Source organism: Homo sapiens, chromosome 22 (genome assembly GCF_000001405.40).
Source record: "Homo sapiens chromosome 22, GRCh38.p14 Primary Assembly".
NCBI classification, from domain to species: domain Eukaryota; kingdom Metazoa; phylum Chordata; class Mammalia; order Primates; family Hominidae; genus Homo; species Homo sapiens.
The window spans coordinates 28,547,299-28,569,746 of NC_000022.11; the positions used below are offsets into that span (position 1 = coordinate 28,547,299).

Below are 22,448 nucleotides of genomic sequence, written 5' to 3' on the forward strand. Positions count from 1 at the left end.
CCAGTGATTGGGACTGCCAAAGTTTTTCCCTGCACAAATGCAGGCAAAGATTCATTTAAGCACGAATCATCCTCCTATACTTCAGCTGAATGAATGAAGGTGAAGTGGTACAAGACTCTACACTTAATTCATTTCAACAAAGTGGTTCTACCATTAATAAACGATGTAAAACTACACTCAAGATTTTTGTCTCTCCCTTATAAAGTATGCAAAACATTTTCTGCTTCTCATACAAAGTGTCCTAAAGTGTCCTCTTTCTACCCCCAGTCAATGAATCTAGTATTCTGAGTCACAATTTTATACTGCAATCAAATCCAAGAAGCTGTCATTTTTTATTTAACATCCATGGGCTGTAGTCATGAAAAATTTACTCACTGTAATACGGTCGCATTCCTTCCATAGTCAGACTCTTAATGATATGATGCAATATTCTTAAGGACATTTTAATGCTGAGGCATGTTAAAGAAAAGTAGCATAAAATAACTCTACAGACATGTATCATTTAACTCCCCCTAGTTAAAAAAAAAAAAAGTAAACAATGCAAAACCAGAGCCAACAGTTAAATACTCGCTAAAGATTAAATAATTTTAAGTAAAGACATATTTACTCATAGTTTCTTAGCACTACAATCACTCCATCAAGAATACTAGATACGAAAATTGTGGGTCATTAATCTATATTTCTAACCACCCAATACTGCTGCTCTCTTTTGGAACTCTCTTATGTCACATAATTCAAATGCACTAGTTTTTTATTATTATCTAAATATCATCTAATAAAAGACAAAAGCTCTATCAAGTGACATTTAATTTTCTTCCCATATCTAAGCACTCCATGTTTTTGACAGTGACTTACAGAGTGAGGGGAGTACAATTTGTGTTCACCCTGAGGGATACGGCCTAGCCCCATATCATCTTAGAACAAGGCCCGAAAGCAAATATGCATTTATAGCAGGCTGAGCATGAACCCTTCTCTAAAAATATATGTTTTAACCATGAGCAAAGAAATAATCAATTCATTCTGGTATCTCAGGGTGTTGAGGAAGTATGAGGTAGGGTAAGCGGAGAGACCTTCCAGCCCAGTATCAAACCAACATGGCAATCTCTGAACAATAAGGCAAGCCCAGCATCTCCCACACCATTTAAAGCTACATTTTTTTTAATCTAACATCACCACAAATCATCAGTTATAAAGCTCAAAGTCACACTGGTTAACTAGCTTTCACAAAGGGCAGCTTTACTGACATTAACAGCACCATTTCTTACTACCTATGCATCTGTCAAACCATCTGAGCAAATAGCCGAGAGGCAGTGTGCCAGGCAGGCTCCTGGCAGATGGATATGGCTGGAAGCATTCAGCAGATCAGTTTGGTGGTGAATGGTAAAACTGCCATTTGGAAATTTGAATTGTCTGCCTAAACACCACCTATCAATCCAGCATTATTATAGTTTAAAGTTTTACAAGAAGGCCATTTTTCTCATCGGCTCATAAACATGTTTCCTTACCCCCATGACAGTCATGATGTTCCCCTACCTATGATGCCTCTTTTATTCACATCCAAATCCTACCAATCCTTTAGGGCTTGTTCAAGTCCCACATTCTTTAAGAGGACTTCACCTGACTTTACCACTACAGTAAGTTTTGTTAATAGTAGTCCAAATACCATGTTTGAAAACTATTTTAATGTTTCCTCCAAATTCTAACACCTCTAAATTCTACTTTTTTTTCTTTTTTCCTTTTTTTTTCTGAGATGGAGTCTCGCTCTGTCACCCAGGCTGGAGTGCAGTGGCACGATCTCAGCTCACTGCAGCCTCTGCCTCCTGGGTTCAAGAAATTATCCTGCCCCAGCCTCCCGAGTAGCTGGGATTACAGGCACCCACCATCACACCCAGCTAATTTTTTTTATTGTTAGGAGAGATGGGGTTTCACCATGTTGGCCAGGCTGGTCTCAAACTTCTGACCTCAGGTGATCTACCCACCTAAGCCTCCCGAAGTGCTGGGATTACAGGTGTGAGCCACCATGCCTGACCTCTAAATTCTAATTATTGAGCACACTATTATTGTCTATTGATCAGTCTGGTTTTCTGTATATTCATCTTATTACATTTAAGGGCTCTAAGTTTCTTGAGGGCAACTATCAGGTCCTTCTTATTCATTTACTCATTCAACTAACCTTTAGTAAATGTCTACTGCTGCCAGGCCCTGTGTTAAACATCAGGACTGTAAACTATAAAAACAAACAGTTCTCAAAGGATTTGGATTCTCTCCTTTTTAAGTCTATCTTAATTCTTTGGTACTCATTACAATGCCTAAAGTTAATACATAATGATTAATCAACTGTTTGCCAATTAATTGAACAAAAACATCTTTAAATTTTAAAATACATAACAACTATATTCTGTAGGTTAGATCCCTTTTCAAAAGAAGAGCTATGTGGTTATATACTTTTTACAGTTAAGACATTTGCAAAACAAAAAATGTGCTTGATTTGCTAACTGGAAGAGATAAGTCACTGTAAAATTCATGGTCTTCAATGTTTTTCTTCAATCTAAAGATTGGAGATCACCGATTTCACAAAATACAGTTGTAAATTATTATATCATACCTTAAATCTCCAAACTTCTAAATTGAAAAGTCAAAGCTTTTAAGTTTCTTCTGCTCACAATCAAATAAGATCTGTACTTTAATTCCCAACAATTTTAGTCCAGTGAGGATTGTGATCAATCCATTTTAAGATCAATGATAACCATTTTCTCTATGACTGTTTAGTGAAAAAATATCTTCCAGTGATGAGATGCAACAGTCTAACAGATAACATTTGCCATTTTCAAAGAGGTACTCCTCACTACGTCCCTGAAAAAAAGAGGTAAATGGTATTATTGACATTTTGCAGAAGTAGATGTTAAATTCTTTAAAAGAATTTTTTAGGGACAGAGACCCATAATTTCAGAATTGTGGCTACAATTCATTTTGAAATTTTAGCCAAAGCAGTTTAAGATCCCATTTCCCTTTGAAAGCACAAAATGTCAGTAAGGTTTATCTACATTACTATGGTTTCATTATCCTCATTCAAGCTACATCTCCTTAAAGACAAGACTATTTTAGTTTATTTCATCAATCACAAGAATCCTAAATGCCTACTTAAACAACTCAGTGGTCAGGGATTAACTGTAACTGCGATATACTATCCCTGTAACCATCACTGTTAAAGACTAATCAAGTATTCATGCCCTACTTCTATCAGGAGTGTGCGTCTATCATTTGTATCAGTAGCAAAGCTAATATAAAAAATTATCTCCAATGTTACTTTGCTCTACAAAAAACTATAAAAAGAGAAAAATGAAACATTAAAAAGTACCATAAATTCTATTTTACAGTATAATGACATAAATGCGAAGGTTTAATAGACTAGCACTGCAGCAAAACATTTGATTAGTCTTGACAGAATTTTATCTACTGTTCCAGAATTAAAAAATAAAAATTAAAAACTAGAAAAAAATTTGAATGGAGTTGTTTTAAGTGATTTCCAAGGACTCATATAAACTTAAGGCAAAGGGGGTGGAAAAAGATATTCCATGCAAATGGACACCAAAAGCAAGCAGGAACAACTATTCTTATATCAGACAAACCAAACTTTAAAGCAATAGCAGTTAAAAAAGACAAAGACGGACATTATATAATGATAAAAGGACTAGTTTAACAGGAAAATATCACAATTCTAAATATATATGCACCTAACACTGGAGCCCCCAAATTTATAAAACAATTACTACTAGACCTAAGAAATGAGATAGACAGCAACACAATAATAGTGAGGGACTTTACTACTCCAGGAGATTGATAAATTCCTGGAAATATACAACCCTCCTAGATTAAACCGGGAAGATATAGAATCTCGGGACAGACCAATAACAGCAGCAAGATTGAAATGGTAATTTTAAAATTGTAAACAAAAAAAAGTCCAGCACCAGGCAGATTCACAGCTAAATTCTATTAGACACTCAAAGATGAATTGCTACCAATCTTATTGACACTATTCCAAAAGATAGAGAAAGAGGGAATCCTTCCTAAATCATTCTATGAAGTCAGTATAACCCTAATAACAAAACTGGGGAAGGACACAGCAAAAAAAAGAAAACTACAGACCAATATCCCTGATGAAAATAGATGCAAAAATCCTCAACAAAATACTAGCAAACCAAATCCAACAGCATATCAAAAAGATAATCCACCATGACCAAGTGGTTTCATACCAGGGATGAGGATGGTTTAACATATGTAAGTCAATAAATGTGTTATACCACATAAACAGAGTTGAAAGCAAAAATCACATGATCATCTCAATAGATGCAGAAAAAGCATCTGATAAAATCCAGCATCTCTTTATGACTAAAACCCTCAGCAAAATCAGCATAGAAGGGACATACTTTAATGTAATAAAAGCCATCTTCGACAAACCCACAGCCAACATTACACTTAACAAAGAAAACTTGAAAGCATTCCCCCTGTGAACTGGAACAAGACAAGGATGTCCTCTTTCACCACTTCTATTCAACATAGTACCGGAAGTCCTAGCGAGAGCAATCAGACAAGAGAAAAAAATAAAGCACATCCAAATCAGTAAGGAGGAAGTCAAACTGTCACTGTTTGCTGATGATATGATCATATACCTAGAGAACCCTCAAGATTCATCCAAAAAGCTCCTAAAACTGGTAAATGAATTCAGCAAAGTTTTAGGATACAAAATTAATACACACAAATCAGTAGCTCTGCTATACACCAATAGCAACTAAGCTGAGAATCAAATCAAAAACTCAACCCCCTTCACGATAACCACAAAAAAAATAATAAAATACTTAGGAATATACCTAACCAAGGAGGCGAAAGACCTCTACAAGGAAAACTACAAAATACTGCTGAAAGAAATCACAGATGACACAAACAAATGGAAACACAACCCATGCTCATGGATGAGTAGAATCAATATTGCAAAAATGACCATCTTGCCAAGAGCAATCTACAAATTCAATGCAATTCCCATCAAAATATCACCATAAATCTTCACGGAACGAGAAAAAAAATCCCAAAATTCATATGGAACCAAAAAAGAGCCCGCATAGCCACGTAAGACTAAGCAAAAAGAACAAATCTAGAAGTATCACATTACTGACTTCAAAGTATACTATAAGGCCATAGTCACCAAAACAGCCTGGTACTGGTATAAAAATAGGCACATAGACCAATGAAACAGAATGGAGAATCCAAAAATAAACCCAAATACTTACAGCTAACTGTTCTTTGGCAAAGTAAACAAAAACATAAAGTGGGGAAAGGACGACCTATTCAACAAAAGGTGCTGGGACAACTGTCAAGCCACAGGTAGAAGAATGAAACTGGATCCTCATCTCTCACCTTATACAAAAATCAATTCAAGATGGATCAAAGCCTCTCCCTCTCCCTCTCCGCCTCCCCCTCCCCCTCCCCCTCTCCCCACGGTCTCCCTCTCCCTCTCTTTCCACGGTCTCCCTCTGATGCCGAGCCAAAGCTGGACTGTACTGCCGCCATCTCAGCTCACTGCAACCTCCCTGCCTGATTCCCCTGCCTCAGCCTGTCGAGTGCCTGTGATTGCAGGCGCGCGCCACCATGCCTGACTGGTTTTCGTATTTTTTTGGTGGAGACGGGGTTTCGCTGTGTTGGCCGGGCTGGTCTCCAGCTCCTAACCGCGAGTGATCCGCCAGCCTCGGCCTCCCGAGGTGCCGGGATTGCAGACGGAGTCTCGTTCACTCAGTGCTCAATGGTGCCCAGGCTGGAGTGCAGTGGCGTGATCTCCGCTCGCTGCAACCTCTACCTCCCAGCCGCCTGCCTTGGCCTCCCAAAGTGCCAAGATTGCAGCCTCTGCCCGGCCGCCACCCCGTCTGGGAAGTGAGGAGCGTCTCTGCCTGGCCGCCCATCGTCTGGGATGTGAGGAGCCCCTCTGCCTGGCTGCCCAGTCTGGAAAGTGAGGAGCGTCTCTGCCCAGCGCCATCCCATCTAGGAAGTGAGGAGCCCCTCTTCCCAGCCGACATCCCATCTAGGAAGTGAGGAGCGTCTCTGCCCGGCCGCCCATCGTCTGAGATGTGGGGAGCGCCTCTGCCCCGCCGCCCTGTCTGGGATGTGAGGAGCGCCTCTGCCCGGCCGCAACCCCGTCTGGGAGGCGAGGAGCGTCTCTGCCCGGCCGCCCCGTCTGAGAAGTGAGGAGACCCTCTGCCTGGCAGCCACCCCGTCTGAGAAGTGAGGAGCCCCTCCGCCCGGCAGCCACCCCGTCTGGGAAGTGAGGAGCGTCTCCGCCCGGCAGCCACCCCATCCGGGAGGGAGGTGGGGGTCAGCCCCCGCGCCAGGCCAGCCGCCCCGTCCGGGAGGGAGGTGGGGGGTCAGCCCCCGCCAGGCCAACTGCCCCGTCCGGGAGGGAGGTGAGGGGGTCAGCCCCCCGCCCGGCCAGCCACCCCGTCCGGGAGGTGAGGGGCACCTCTGCCCGGCTGCCCCTGCTGGGAAGTGAGGAGCCCCTCTGCCTGGCCACCACCCCGTCTGGGAGGTGTGCCCAGCGGCTCATTGAGAACGGGCCATGATGACAGTGGCAGTTTTGTGGAATAGAAAGGGGGGAAAGGTGGGGAAAAGATTGAGAAATCGGATGGTTGCCGTGTCTGTGTAGAAAGAAGTAGACATGGGAGACTTTTCATTTTGTTCTGTACTAAGAAAAATTCTTCTGCCTTGGGATCCTGTTGATCTGTGACCTTACCCCCAACCCTGTGCTCTCTGAAACATGTGCTGTGTCCACTCAGGGTTAAATGGATTAAGGGCGGGGCAAGATGTGCTTTGTTAAACAGATGCTTGAAGGCAGCATGCTGGTTAAGAGTCATCACCACTCCCTAATCTCAAGTACCCAGGGACACAAACACTGCGGAAGGCCGCAGGGTCCTCTGCCTAGGAAAACCAGAGACCTTTGTTCACTTGTTTATCTGCTGACCTTCCCTCCACTATTGTCCTATGACCCTGCCAAATCCCCCTCTGCAAGAAACACCCAAGAATGATCAATTAAAAAAAAAAAAAAAAGATGAATCAAAGACTTAAATCTAAGATCTGAAACCATAAAGATTCTAGAAGACAACATTGGAAAAACCCTTCTAGACACTGGCTTAGGCAAACACTTCATGACCAAGAACCCAAACACAAATGCATCAACAAAATAAGATACATTGATGGGACTTAATTAAACTTAAAAGCTTCTGCACAGCAGAAGAAATAATCAGCAGAGGTCTGGCACAGACACTCACACCTGTAATCCCAGCACTTTGGGAGGCTGAGGCAAGCAGATCACTTGAGGTCAGGAGTTCGAGACCAGCCTGGCCAACATGGTGAAACCCCATCTCTACTAAAAATACAAAAATTAACCGGGTGTGGTGGCACACACCTGTCATCCCAGCTACTAGGGAGGCTGAGGCAGGAGAATCACTTGAACCTGGGAGGCGGAGGTTGCTGTGAGCCGAGATTGTACCACTCTACTCCAGCCTGGGTAACAGAGTGAGACTCCGTCTTTTAAAAGGAAAAAAAAAGAAAGAAATAATCAGCAAAGTTAACAGACAATCCACGGAGTGAGAAAAAGTCTTCGCAATCTATATATCCAACAAAGGACTAATATTCAGAATCTATGCAGAACTCAAACAAATCAGCAAGAAAAAAACAATCCCATCAAAAAGTGAGCTGAAGACATAAATAGACAATTCTCAAAAGAAGATATACAAATGGCCAACAAGCATATGGAAAAATGCTCAACATCACTAATTATCAGGGAAATGCAAATCAAAACCACAATGTAATACCACCTCACTCCTGCAAGAATAGCCATAATGAAAAAATAATAGATGTTGGCATGGATGTAGTGAAAAGGGACCACTTTTACACTGTTGGTGGGAATGTAAACCAGTACAATCACTAGGGAAAACAGTGTGGAGACTCATTAAACAACTAAAAGTAGATCTACCGTTTGATCCAGCAATCCCATTACTAGGTATCTACCCAGAGGAAAAGAAGTCATTATGCAAAAAGATACTTGCACACCTATGTTTATAGCAGCACAATTTCTAATTGCAAAAATACGGAACCAGCCCAAATGCCCATCAATCAATGAGCAGATAAAGAAAATGTGGTATATTTTATACCATGGAATACTACTCAGCCATAAAAAGGAATGAAATAATGGCATTTGCAGCAACCTGAATGGAATTGGAGACTATTATTCTAGGTGAAGTAACTCAGGAATGGAAAACCAAACATTGTATGTTCTCACTCATATGTGGGAGCTAAGCTATGAGGACACAAAGGCATAAGAATGATACATTGGACTTTGGGGATTACAGGGAAAGGGTGGGGGGTGCTGAGGGATAAAAGACTACACTTTGGGCATGCTGCTCGGGCGATGGGTGCACCAAAAATCTCAGAAATCGCCACTAAAGTACTTATTAATGTAACCAAACACCAACTGTTCCCCAAAAACCTATTGAAATAAATTTTTAAATGCAATATTTTAGTTATGTCTTTTTTAATCCCACAAATTAGATGCTACTCTTTTATACAGATAATTCTTATTTACATTTATCCACATGTTTACTAATTTTGTTGCTCATCATCATATATCAGACTTTTCTGAGATCATTTTCCTTCGCCATAAAATATACCCTTTAGTGAAGGGTTCATGGAAAACTCAGTTTTGGTTTATTAAAAAAAAAAAATGCCCTATTTTTCAGCTGGGCACAGTGGCTCATGCCTGTAATCCCAGCACTTTGGGAGGCCAAGGAGGGTGGATCACATGAGGTCAGGAGTTCAAGACCAGCCTGGCCAACATAGTAAAACCCCGTCTCTACTAAAAATACAAAATTAGCTGGGCATGGTGGCACATCTCTGTAGTCCCAGCTACTCAGGGGGGCTGAGGCAGGAGAATCACTTGAACTCGGGAGGCAGAGGTTGCAGTGAGCCAAGATCGCACCACTGCACCCCAGCCTGGGCAACACAGCAAGACCCTGTCTCAAAAAAAAAGCCCTATTTCTCTTTCATTCTTAAAAGATCATTTTTCTAAATATATAACACTAGGCCAACTGATACTTTCCTCCACACTATGCATGCAGATACTATAGCTTCCACGTTTGCTACTGAGAAATCTAACATCAGTCCAAGTGTTGTTACTCTCTAAGTAATCCATCTTTTCTTTCTGGTTACTTTTAAGATTTTTCTCATTGTCTTTGATGTTCTTTAGTATATTAGGTATGTAATGCTGCATGAGAAGTTATCCCCAAAACACAGCGGCTTAAAACAATAAACACCTATTATTCCACAGTTTCTGTGGCTCAAGAACTCAGAAGCAGCTTAGCTGGCTGATTCTGGCTGAAGGTATTTTATGAGGCTGCAGCTGAGATGCTAGCTAGAGCTATAATCATCTGAAGGGCTGGCCAGGGCAGAAGGATACACTTCCAAGGTAGCTCACTCATGCCTCATAAGCTGATGCTGGTTATTGGCAGGAGGGCTCAATTCTTCTCCAGTAGGGCTTTTCCATGGGTTGCCTGAGTGACCTCACAACATGGTGATTGGCTTCATCCAGAGTGAGTGATCCAAGAATGGGCAAGGTGGAAGCCACAATGCCTTTCATGACTTAACCTCCAACGTCACACCCCTTCATTTGCACAATACCCTATTAGTTATGAAATTCAGCCCCATTAAGTGTGAGTGAGGACAATATAAGGGTGTGAAAGAAAGAATCATTCGGGATCATCTTGGAGGCTGGTTACCAGACACAGTTTCACCTACAGTATCTTCAGGTGTGGGTTTAATTATTCTGCTTTGTCAAAGTTGAGCTTTTCTATATCTATAAATTCAAGTCTTTCAATAATTTTAGAAAATTTTCAGCCATTATCTCTTCCAATATTGTCTCTCCTGCATTTTCTTGTCTTGCTTTCTGGGATTCTGACTAGAGACTTACATTAAACCTTCATATTCCATTTCTCCTAACCTCTCTGTCATATATTCCATTTCTCTGCCTCTGTGCTACATTCTTTGTGATTTCTTCAAACCATCTTCTAGTTCACTAATTCTCTCTGAAGCTAGGTTTAAGCTGCTATTTAACCAATCTGGAGGTTTTTATTCCAACAACTACATTTTTCATGTACAGACATTCTATTTGGTACATTTTCAAATCTTCTTGGTCATATTTGATACTCTCTTGCTGCTCGCTCATTTTTGTGAGTTCCTCTCTTGTATCTTTAAATATTTTATGCATAGTTATTTAATATTCTATACCTGATCCCTTCAATATCTTAAGTTCTTGGGGTCTGTTGTATTTTTCAGCCAACTCCTTAATAATGATTTGTCTCCTTCTGTATTTGGTCATCTTGGATTGTGACTTCAAATCTAGTTGATCTTAAACAGAGAATCCTAGGTGGTAAATGAAGAAGGTTTTCCTTCAGAGAGAGAATTTATATTTGCTTCTTCCAGGAACTATGGGCTCTATCAATCTTCTCTGGTTCCCTTCAAGTGTCCCTGGCTTAAGGCTAGAATTTCATATTCAGCTTTCTTATCTTGTTACCTACCTAAGGCTTCCCACTGCCATGCTGATATAAACATTTACCTCCAAGGCTACCTTTCATGATCATTTTTTACTGTTCCAGTCTTAGTTCATAATTTTTAGCTGTAATTTTGTCATCGTTTTTATTTTGATTTTTTTACTTTTGATAAACATTGTATAATTTCACTTAATTTCTACAAGTCCAGCAATGCATTCGTCAGTGGTTTGTTGTGAAAGGTTCCTATAACCTAACTTGTCTGTTATTCTTCCGAAGGTGAAATACCCAAATCCTTTCCTTATCTATGCTCATCTTTTACTTGATAAATAATTCCAGAGGAACTATCATGGACTAATTTAACATTTATCATAAGTAATTTGTTATTCAGAGTTCATTTACATGGTAAGATGTAAACTGTCACCAAGAAACCAAAAATGTTGGGGTATTTTTGTCAAGTAGTACCTCACTGATGTGGATAAAGTGAGGATTCAGCATGTCAAAAATATTGGCCAGGCGCAGTGGCTCACGCCTGTAATCCCAGTACTTTGGGAGGCAGAGGCAGGTGGATCACCTGAGGTCAGGAGTTCAAGACCAGCCTGACCAACATGGTGCAACCCTGTCTCTACTAAAAATACAAAATATTAGCCGGGCATGGTGGCGCATGCCTGTAATCCCAGCTACTTGGGATGCTGAGGCAGGAGAATCGCTTGAACCCCGGAGGCGGAGGTTGCAGTGAGCTGAGATCGCACCACTGCACTCCAGCCTGGGCAACAAGAGTGAAACTCCATCTCAAAAAAATAAAAAAGAAAAAAAGATATATTGTAAATACTTCATAATAGATTATCCTAAAGAATTTCCATTTCTGGCCGGGCACAGTGGCTCATGCCTGTAATCCCAGCACTTTGGGAGGCCAAGACAGGCGAATCACCTGAGGTCAGGAGATCAAAACAGACCAGCCTGGCCAACATGGCAAAACCCTGTCTCTACTAAAAGTACAAAAATTAGCTGGGTATGGTGGCGGGCACCTGTAATCCCAGCTACTCAGGAGGCTAAGGCAGGAGAATAGCTTGAACCCGGGAGGCGGGGATTGCAGTGAGCCGAGATCACGCCACTGCACTCCAGCCTGGGCAACAAAAGCAAGACTCCATCTCAAAAAAAAAAAAGAGAGAATTTCGGTTTATTTATTTCCAAGTGAATGATGACCCAAAAAGAGTTGATATGTAGAGGGCCTGCTCAAAAATGACTGCTTGAAAATGGTTCACATGATTTCATTAATCATGCATGCCCCTAGATATCTTTATCTTATCCATATGCTTAGAAACAGTTTTTCTACAAAGATCAATTGATATGCCCTAATCCAAAATGTCAGTTAAAATGTCATTAGTTTCACTTAGCCAAACTTGTACAACCAAGATCAGTTCAAATAATACTAAAAATCTCAGTCTCCAAAGAATCCGAAAGTACTCCAGCCACAGTAACTTCAGTTTTTTATTTACTCATTCGAGTACTATAGTTTTTAAAGTTCAATCATTTACGAAGTTAAACTTAAGACCTATAACATTCAGCCCATACCCAATTACCAAGTCTACTAATTCTGCCTGCTGAATTTATCTACCACACTCCATCCCAACTGCCACCACCCCGGCCTAAGACAATATTTATCATTTCTCCCCTAAGTAGAGCAACAGCATCTATTTCCCCACCTACAGTCTTGCCTCTCTGTAGTCCATCATCCATCCTATAACCAAAGTGGTCTTTCTTCAGGACATAATCTTAGTATTTGACACAACGGGTCATTCTCTCCTTCACTTAGCTTCTAGGATATCACGTTCTCCAGTTTTTTCTCTTACCACATTCGCTGCTCCTCCTCAGGCTCCTTTGCTGATATTCCCATCTTTTCCTAAATTCTGAATGTTGAAGTGCCACAAGACTCAGTCCTCAGTCTTCTCTCTTCTATACAAACACTCTCTAAGTATCTCATCAAGTTTTATTATGGCTTTAACTACCACCTATGTGCTGGCAAATCTCAGATTTATAGCTTGAGCCCTGATCTCTCCCATGGGCCCAAATACCTATTTGTCTTCTCCAATTGGATGTCTAAGAGGAATCTCAAATTTAATATCTAAAACAGAACTCTTGGCTTTGTATTACTCCCCTCCAAAAAAAGAATTTCTCCTTCATTCCTTCCTGTCTCAGAACTGGCATCAGCATTCACCCAGCAGCACAGGTTAAGGACCTCTGAGTCATCCTTGATTCCTCGCTTTCTTTCACAACCCAAATTCAAATCCCTCCAAATCCTACTTGATGCTATCTGGAAAACATATCCTAAATCCAGCTGTTTTTACCACCTCAACAGTTATCACCCTAGTCTAAGTTATCATTTCTTTCCTGGATTGCAGCAACAGCGCTCTAATTGACCTTCCTGCTTCTAGCCTTACCACTTTTTACTTATTCTCTGCCAGCCACCAGAATGACCTTTCCAAAACATAAGTCACTTTGGTTCCCTGCTCAAAACTTTCCAATGGCTTCTAATCATATTTAAAATAAAATCCAACATCTTATCATGGCTTACAAGGTCCTGTAACTTATGACTTGGGCCCTCCTACCTCTCTGACCTCATCTCTTATCTCTCTTCACACTCACAAACTTTCTGCAGTTTTTCCCATACATAATCATTCCCACCCAAGGAACTGTCTGTTTTCTCTTCCTGGGACATGCTTTCCCCAGATCTTCATATGACTCACTTCCTTACTTCATTCAGGTCTCTGCTCAAATGTTACCTAATCAAAGAGGCCTTCTCAGATGACCTCCTCAGGGTGAACTTCCCTGACATTTCTACCTAAAATTGCTACCTCTCCTTCATTTTCTTTTTTTTGTTTGTTTGTTTGTTTGAGACAGAGTCTCCCTCTGTCACCCAGGCTGGAGTGCAGTGGCATGTCTCGGCTCACTCCAACCTCCTCCTCCTGGGTTCAAGTGATTCTCCTGCCTCAGCCTCCCAAGTAGCTGGGACAACAGGCACCCGCCACCATGCCCAGCTAATTTTTGTAATTTTAGTAGAGATAGGGTTTCACCATGTTGGCCAGGCTGGTCTCGAGCTCCTGACCTCAAGTGATCTGCCCACCTCGGCCTCCCAATGTGCTGGGATTACAGGCATGAGCCACCATGCCTGGCCTCTCTCCTTCATTTTCTTTTTTTTTTTTTTTTTTTGAGACGGAGTCTCGCTCAGTCACCCAGGCTGGAGTGCAGTGGCGCAATCTAGGCTCACTGCAAGCTCCGCCTCCCGGGTTCATGCCATTCTCCTGCCTCAGCCTCCAGAGTAGCTGGGACTACAGGCACCCACCGCCACGCCCGGCCAATTTTTTTTTGTATTTTTAGTAGAGACGGGGTTTCACCGTGTTGGCCAGGATGGTCTTGATCTCCTGACCTTGTGATCCACCCACCTCGGCCTCCCAAAGTGCTGGGATTACAGGCGTGAGACACCACGCCCGGCCATCTCCTTCATTTTATAACTCCTTACATGACTTTGTTTCTTCTATAGCACTTAAGGTTACTGAAAATATACTTTATATTTATTTGTCTGTTTCCTGCATAGAAGGAAAATTGCAGAAGGCAGGGACTCTGTCATGATCACTTCTAGATCCCCAGTGTCTAGAACAGCACTTGACATGCAGTAGGTATTTAATAGATATAATGTCATTCCCCTGTGAAAAACACCTCAACAGTTCCCCATCGCCTCTTAGGTAAATTCCAACCTATTTAACATGAATTATAAAACCCATTGTGATATGGTTCCTGCCTCAACTGGAACCACTGTTTTCACACTCTCAATGCTAAGCCTGGAACATTCTTCCATATCCTTTCCTCCTCATACTTAGCTAACCCTTACTTATGCTTTCAACTCTCGTCTTAAATAGTACTTCAGAAAGGCTTTTTTTTAAATCATTCAACTAGGTTTACTATGATTAATCTCCTTGCCATATTTTCTTATAGTAGTTTGTCTTTTCTCTATCATAAAGTATTAATTTTGTAATTACTCAGTATGTTGGCCCTGACAAAATACATATTCCTTGAAGGCAGTGACTATGTCTGATTTGTATACCATTATATCTCTACTATCTAACACAGTATTTGACACATATGGCATACTCAAATACTTATGGAATTCCCAAGTGAATCATGAAAATTCACACTCACACAAAAAGGTGAATTAGACACTTAGATCACCTTTAAAATACTAAAGCATAGTAATTAAGTACTTTGAATATAAGTAATGAGGAAAAAAATTGCATGGAAAACAAAATTATGTAGTACATGGAGAAGAGAATAAAAAATATAACCACTCTCTTTCAGGCTAACGAAAAATGGCTTCCTAGAGGACTAGCCATAGCAATGCTTTCAATTTCTCCATTATAGATGCTTTCAATTTCTCCATTATAGATGTATAAAAGTATAGGTGTTTGAGCAAAACAAAAGTTATTTTTCTGTTTCTGATGTGTAAAGGTGAGTTTTAGAGACACTGTCATGAAGACTAGCTGGTGCTGGTATTTCTGAGAGGACAAGGTAAGGTTGGGTCCAAGGACAGTAAAATACAGAGTCTCAAACCAATTGCCACTGCCAGGGTGAAGAACCACCGTAGAAGTGAAACTAACACACAATAAGTAAACAAGAATGAGCATGTACCTTCTCCTATTTTTTGACTTCCATTATCTAAGCACCTTGTACTGGTAGAAGGGAGTAGCTGAAAAAAAAAGAAATGTAGTTTGTCCAGTCCCACACTAGTAACATAAAGAGAATAGAAGGGCAGGTTTGGAGCTGACAAACAATAGCTAAACAACCAGCTCACAAATCTTACCATCAAAAATTGCCAAAAGCACAAAAGAAGTCTTGCCTTCTGACATGAAAGTCAATTACTTCATCAGAGGAAGGGTTTTGAAGTGTTTTAAGATAGACAGAAATGGGCCAGCACAGTGGCTCATGCCTGTAATCCCAGCATTTTGGGAGGCTGAGGCAGACGGATCACTTGAGTTCAGGAGTTTGAGACCAGCCTGGGCAACATAGCAAAACCCTGTCTCTACAAAAAATACAAATATTTGCCAGGTGTGGTGGCGTGTACCTGTAGTCCCAGCTACTTAGGAGGGTGAGGCAGGAGGGTCGCTTGAGCTCAGGAGGCAGAGGTTGCAGTGACCTGAGATGGAGCCACTACACTCCAACCTGGGTGACAGGGCCAGACTCTGCCTCAAAATAATAAGAAGAAGAATAAGATAGAAAAAATATACAAAAAATAGAATCTATAGAAATATTTTAAACTAACATTTTTTTAAAGTTTTTTGCTCAATGACCTTACATTGAAAATGTATATTTGTCATCCCTTTCTTACTGCCACAGAAAATGTCAATGATGCTATGAACTTGCTAAAGATAACCTGATTGACTTGAGGAAAGAGAAATTAATATAAAATAAATTTAAATCAAAAGTCTTCTAAATTTCTTGGATTCCTTCATATAAGGTAAGTAATTCTTGGCAAAGCAAATAAGAACTGCAGTGATTTGCTTTGCAACCATATACCTGTGTGAGTCAATTGTAAGAACTGCTTAATAATTCTTATCATCAAAACCAAAGATTAATCCAAAGAAGATAAACAGCAACAAGCACATGAAATGATGTTCAACATCATTAGTTGATTTGCATCAATCAATGCAAATCAAAACCACAATAAGGTACCACCTTACACCTACTAGACTGACTATAATTTTAAAAATGGAAAATAAAAAGTGTTGGTTATGGAGAAATTGGAACCCTTGTAGATTGCTGGTGGGATGTAAAATGATGCAACTGCTGTAGAAAAAAGTCTGACAGTTTCCCAAAGAGTCAAACATAGAATTACTATATAAGTCAGCAATTCCATGCCTAGGTATATACCCAAAAGAAGTGAAACTCAAACAAATACATGTACATACATGTTCGTGACAGCATTATTATTCACAATAGCCAAAAGGTGAAAACAGCCCAACTGTCCATTAACGAATGAATGGATAAATGAATTGTAATATACACACACAAAGAAATATTATTCAGCAATAAAAAGGAATGTAGTACACTATAATGTACATGAACCTCCAAAACATTACACTAAGTGCAAGAAACCAGATACAAATAATCACATATTACATGACTCTGTTTATATTAAATACCCAGAATAGGTAAATCTACAGAATGTAGATTGGTGGTTGCCAGGGGCTGATGGAAGAGGAAATGGGGAGCAAATGCTTAATGCATATGGGACTTCCTTTTGGGGCGATGAAAATGTTTTGGAACTAAAGTTGGCTGCTGTATAATATTGTGAATACACTAAATCCCATGAATTGTTTACTTTAAAATGATTAATTTTGAGTAATGTCAATTTTACTTCAATTATTTAAGTGTAAAATTTTTTAATAAATAATATTTTAAACTTAAGGTTGAAATCAGATGTCAAAGATCTTACAAGATCTTACAAGATACCACATCAAACTTCAGAAAATACTTTTTAATTTTAGTGACTTTTCCACCACTAAATTCAGACTTTTGTTTTATTTGTCCAATTTGGTTTTATTTCAATTTTTAAAGAAAGTAACCATTAATTTACTAATTTTTACATTATAATGACACTAACATATTATAGATAGTTGTTATATTTTTGTCTGTGATAGCAGTATTCCGTGGTTTTCCACCCCACTCTGAACATCTCAACAATACTATACAGTGCATTGAGAATAGTGGCTCACTGTAACAATGATTATCAAATATCTAGGTATACCTATCTAACAAGATATATTAGAATACTTCAAGGAACCCCAGATCATTCTGATCCCTCTCCTCTCCCCACGTTACACAACCCCCAATCATCTTACCTGGCCCCACCTCTGCTATCAATCTTGAGAACCACTGGTCTCAATTTATATATAATTTATAATTTTTTATATATTTTATATATATTTTATATATAAATTTATAATTTATTATATAAATAAATTTATATGTAATTTATATATAAATTATATAATTCCAATGCAAAAAAATGAAAGTAAAAACAAATGTGTTTATGTACTATTTGGGGGTGGGAGGAGGGAGGCACAGGAAGGGAAGTTGACCAATAGCCATCATCAGATTCTCAAAGAGGAATATGACTGCCTGCCAAAAGTGAAGATCCCTACTATATTCGATGAGGCTCATTCACATACAGTACAGTTCTCTAGGTTAACAACTTAATAATCTACAGCAGAAACCAAGTATTACTCTCATAAGCTGGGAAGACAATAGAAACAATATACCTAGGTAAGACATGGCTATGCTCCCTATGTCCCCAGAAAAAAAAATTAAGAAAAATTTTAATCTACCCAAGTTTCCACATGAAATTAAACTGCACCAAAATGTACCAAAGAGGCTACTTTATGATTCCTGAAAAGGATATTAAAGAAAAAGTAACATATAGTACTTAGAGTGTTTAGTCCTGAAGTGCTAGAACACTATCAAAAGGGATTCCTTGATTACACATTTTGATATATTCTGCACACACATATTCACATAATCCATCTTTCAAAGAACGAGATCAAATCCAAGAGTTCCCAAATGAAAAACAGCTATAATGAAATCTGCACTTCCCAGCCAAGCTCTGGAAATGTCATAAGACTATAAAAAGAGTTCTTTACTAACTGCTTACTAATTTCAAATTTTGTTTTCAGATTACATTTCACAAATCATAACTGAGAATGGCTGATTCAAGTTTGGAAAAGTATATTTACTATTAAAGATGGAAAAAATTAGAAGGGCTGAAATCATTTTTAAAAGAGATGACAAAATTTTTCCTGCTATATAATGAAATGATTAATTAATATAACTAGAATAATATTTTTAGATTTTCCCTTAATGGAAAATATTTTTCCTTATACCACATCTGCCATTATGTCTCCAGTTAGGGGGCTGGGACAAACACTACTTTGGAAAAGAAAGGGCTATGAAATAAAGGACCTTCCAAACACAGGGGGAAAGTGGAAAGCTTACTCCATTTATCCCTAGTAGGTAAACAAGGGAAAAATCAAAAGTAGGAGAGAGTTTTGCCTAGCTCCACATGTGAAACACTGCATCTAGACCATCATGTAGGATGGTCCTGGGACAATATGGTTTGGGGGGAGGAATAACAGCCTTAGCAGAGGAAACAAATGGGCTTGGGTCAATACCCCTGCTTTTGTATGGCCTCCATATATAGAGAGAATCCATTAGTTCTATAAGCTCCTAAGGGACAGAGAAACCAGTTCCATTTAGGCAGTCAAAACAGTTCAGGACAAGACTAGAGAAGCTTTGTAGAGCACATACTCCTTAATGACTGGCCACAATTCCAAGACACACTCTATCATCATCACAAAATCACATAGGGACGACCCTGTAGCAGTTAAAACAGCATACTGAGGCACAGTGGAGGGAAAAGGAAAGGGAGGATACCCGAAAGACTGAGCATATACCTGAAAGAAGCTGAATTCCCTAATGAGAAAGACGTTAACTGGCAAATTTAAGCTAATACCTTAAGCCTCTCCTTGCCTACCACTACTGTAACTGAGTAACAGGCTTGTGAAAGATTAGAGCCACTACAAAAAATAAGGAAGCTATATTTTCTTTGAACTTTGAATGCTCGAAGAGAAATTTTCAACTGTGCTACATGAACAATAAGTTCATTGATTTCTCTTTCATTCCCTTTAAACATCAATCAAGATTTTAAAATACTATCATTAATATCCTCAGATAAGACACTGCATCAATAAAACAAAGAGAGTAATTTTAAAAATAAAAAAAAGAACAAAGAGAAAAAAAGTTCTTGAAAATCAGAAATAAGAAAGCAAAAATAAACTCAATAAAAGGACTGGAAGATAAAACAGAAAATATTGGCCAGGTGCAGTGGCTCACACCTATAATACCAGCACTTTAGGAAGCTGAGGTGGCAGGACTGCTTGAGCCCAGGAGTTCGAGACCAGCCTCGGAAACATGGGAGACACCATCTCTAAAAAGGTAAAAATATAGGCTGGGTGCAGTGGCTCACGCCTGTAACTCCAGCACTTTGGGAGGCCAAGGCTGGCGGATCATGAGGTCAGGAGTTCGAGACCAGCCTGGTCAACATGGCGAAATGCCATCTCTACTAAAAATACAAAAATTAGCCGGGCATGGTGGCGGACGCCTGTAATCCCAGCTACTTGGGAGGCTGAGGCAAGAGAATAGCTTGAACCCGGAAGGCAGAGATTGCAGCGAGCCAAGATTGTGCCATTGCACTCTGGCTTGGGCGACAAGAGCAAGACTCCATCTCGGAAAAAAAAAAAAAAAAAAAAAAGTAGCCAGGCATGGTAACACATGCCTACAATCCCAGCTACTCAGGAGGCTGATGTGAGAGGATCAATTGAGCTCAGGGGGTCAAGGTTGCAGTGAGTCATGATTGTGCCACTGCACTCTAGCCTGAGTGACACAGCAAGACCCTGTCTCAAAAAAAAAAAGAAAAAAATATATATATACACACTCACATATATACACACATATACATACACACACACACCACACGCATATACATACATACATATATATATATATATATATATATATATATGTTTTTACCTATTAATGATTAGGATTCAGAACAGCTTGCAATTGAAAAAAAGGCAACCAAGGCAGAAACCAAGCAAAATTTGAAGGAAAATTATTTCTAACCTAGCATTCTATAACAAGTCAAACTATCAAGAATTAGGCAGAAGAAAAAGGTATTTTTCAGACTTGTGGCATTCCCATTCACCCTTTCTCGGGAAGCTGCTTGAGAAAGTATACCACCAAAACAAGGGAATAAATAAAGAATGAAGAAGATATGGAATCAAAAACCAGAATTCAACGCAAAACATAGGCAAAGGGAATTTTCAGACTGATGAGGAAGGGAGATTTTAAGATGAAAAACTGCATAAGGGGAACGAGCGCTCAATCCTAATTAAACCCAATCAGAAAAGGTGTCATCAAGAAGACATTTACAAAATACTCAACGTGTTTCAAATGTAATGAGAGGGAAGTTTAGATAATTGGGGAACAATTTAAAAATGAATTTGTGATAAATACATAGAAAACAAAAAAGGGGGAAGAATGATTATTAATTCAGGGGAAAACAAGGTTTTACAAGAAAGGAAAAGTTATCATGGTATACCAAATGATTCAGCTGTGAACTGCATTTTCAGAGTAATACTAATATAAACAATTCTAACAAGAATTATGATATAATTACATTGGGAGAATGAAAGTACAGAAAGTGTGCATATGTGCCAGAAAAGGGGAAAAGAGTTAAATCCTCATCTTTCATTGCAGGAAGACATTGGATAACACTTTAAGAAGTAACAGCAAAGGTGGTGATTGTTGCACAATAATGTGAATATGGTTAATGCCCCATAAACTTTAAAATGGTTAAAAGGAAGTCCTAGCCAGAGCAATCAGACAAGAGAAAGAAATAAAAGACATACAAATAGGAAGAGAAGTCAAACTATCTCTCTTCACAGATGATATGATGCTATACCCACAAAACCCTGTAGTCTCTGTCTAAAGGCTCCTAGATCTGATAACTAACTTCAGCAAAGTTTCAGGATACAAAATCAATGTTCAAAAATCAGCAGCATTTCTATACACTAATAATGTCCTAGCTAAGAGCCAAATCAAGAATGCAATCCCATTCACAAAATGGGATAAAATACCAAGGAATACAGCTAACCAGGGAGGCAAAAGAGCTCTACAATGAGAATGACAAAACATGCTGAACAAAATTAGAGATGATACAAATAAATGGAAAAACATTCCATGCTCATGAATAAGAGTCGATACTGTTAAAATGGTCATACTGCCCAAAGCAATTTACAGATTTAATGCTATTCCTATCAAACTATCAATACCTTTTTCACAGAATTAGAAAACACCTATTCTAAAATTCACATGGGCCAGGCACGGTGACTTACGCCTGTAATCCCAGCACTTTGGGAGGCCAAGGCAAGCAGATCACCTGAGGTCAGGAGTTCGACACCAGCCTTGCCAATATGGTGAAACCCCATCTCTACTAAAAATACAAAAATTAGACAGGCATGGTGGCGCACACCTGTAATCCCTGCTACCCGGGAGGCTGAGGCAGGAGAATCACTTGAACCAGGAGGCAGAGGTTGCAGTGAGCTGAGATTGTGCCACTGCACTCCAGCCTGGGCAACAAGAGTGAGACTCTGTTCTGTCTCAAATAAATAAATAAATAAATAAATAAATAAATAAATAAATAAATAAAATTCACATGGAGCCAAAAAAGAGCCTGAATAGCCAAAACAATCCCAAGTAAAAAGAACAGAGCCAGGCAAATGACATTACCCAGCTTCAAACAATACGACAAGGCTACAGTAACCAAAACAACATGATATCAAACAACATGATACTGGTACAAAAACAGACACATATACAATGGAGCAGGTTAGAGAATCCAGAAATAAAGCCACACACCTACAACCATCTGATCTTAGACAAAGATGACAATAACAAGTAATGGGAAAAGGACTCCCTATTCAATAAATGGTGCTACAGTAACTGGCTAGTCATATGCAGAAGATTGAAAGTGGAACCCTTCCTTACACCAAATACAAAAATCAACTCAAGATGGATTAAAGACTTAAATGTAAAACCTAAAACTATAAAACCCATAGAAAAAAAAACCTAGGAAATACCATTCTGGACATCAGCCCTAGCAAAGATTTCATGATGAAGACTCCAAAAGCAATTGCAACAAAAGCAAAAAATTGGCAAGTGGGACCTAATTAAACTAAGGAGCTTCTGCACAGTAAA

General features: G+C 39.4%; 1 protein-coding gene and 1 long non-coding RNA gene across 10 annotated transcripts in view, besides 3 other annotated features; both read right to left on the bottom strand.

The window, feature by feature from the left end:
* Window positions 1-17,539, bottom strand: part of LOC101929594 (uncharacterized) — a 51,240-nt gene extending 33,701 nt beyond the window's left edge. Inside the window, exon 1 of the long non-coding RNA XR_007068041.1 lies at window positions 376-17,539. This is a non-coding gene — a long non-coding RNA (uncharacterized LOC101929594). The remainder of the gene's footprint in view (window positions 1-375) is intronic.
* The window catches only part of TTC28 (tetratricopeptide repeat domain 28), a 701,827-nt gene that overhangs the window by 569,285 nt on the left and 110,094 nt on the right, over window positions 1-22,448 (bottom strand). The window lies entirely within an intron of this gene.
* Window positions 5,562-6,368: an enhancer, noted in NCBI's record as "H3K27ac hESC enhancer chr22:28948848-28949654 (GRCh37/hg19 assembly coordinates)". NCBI's record gives its function as "activates a minimal SCP1, AML or CMV promoter by ChIP-STARR-seq in naive H9 embryonic stem cells {active_cell/tissue: H9 hESC(naive)}" and the evidence as "EXISTENCE:reporter gene assay evidence [ECO:0000049][PMID:30033119]".
* Window positions 19,823-20,117: a silencer, noted in NCBI's record as "tiled region #11195; K562 Repressive non-DNase unmatched - State 23:Low". NCBI's record gives its function as "represses a minimal TATA promoter and a strong SV40 promoter by Sharpr-MPRA in K562 cells {active_cell/tissue: K562}" and the evidence as "EXISTENCE:reporter gene assay evidence [ECO:0000049][PMID:27701403]".
* Window positions 19,823-20,117: an enhancer, noted in NCBI's record as "tiled region #11195; HepG2 Activating DNase matched - State 9:DNaseU". NCBI's record gives its function as "activates a minimal TATA promoter and a strong SV40 promoter by Sharpr-MPRA in HepG2 cells {active_cell/tissue: HepG2}" and the evidence as "EXISTENCE:reporter gene assay evidence [ECO:0000049][PMID:27701403]".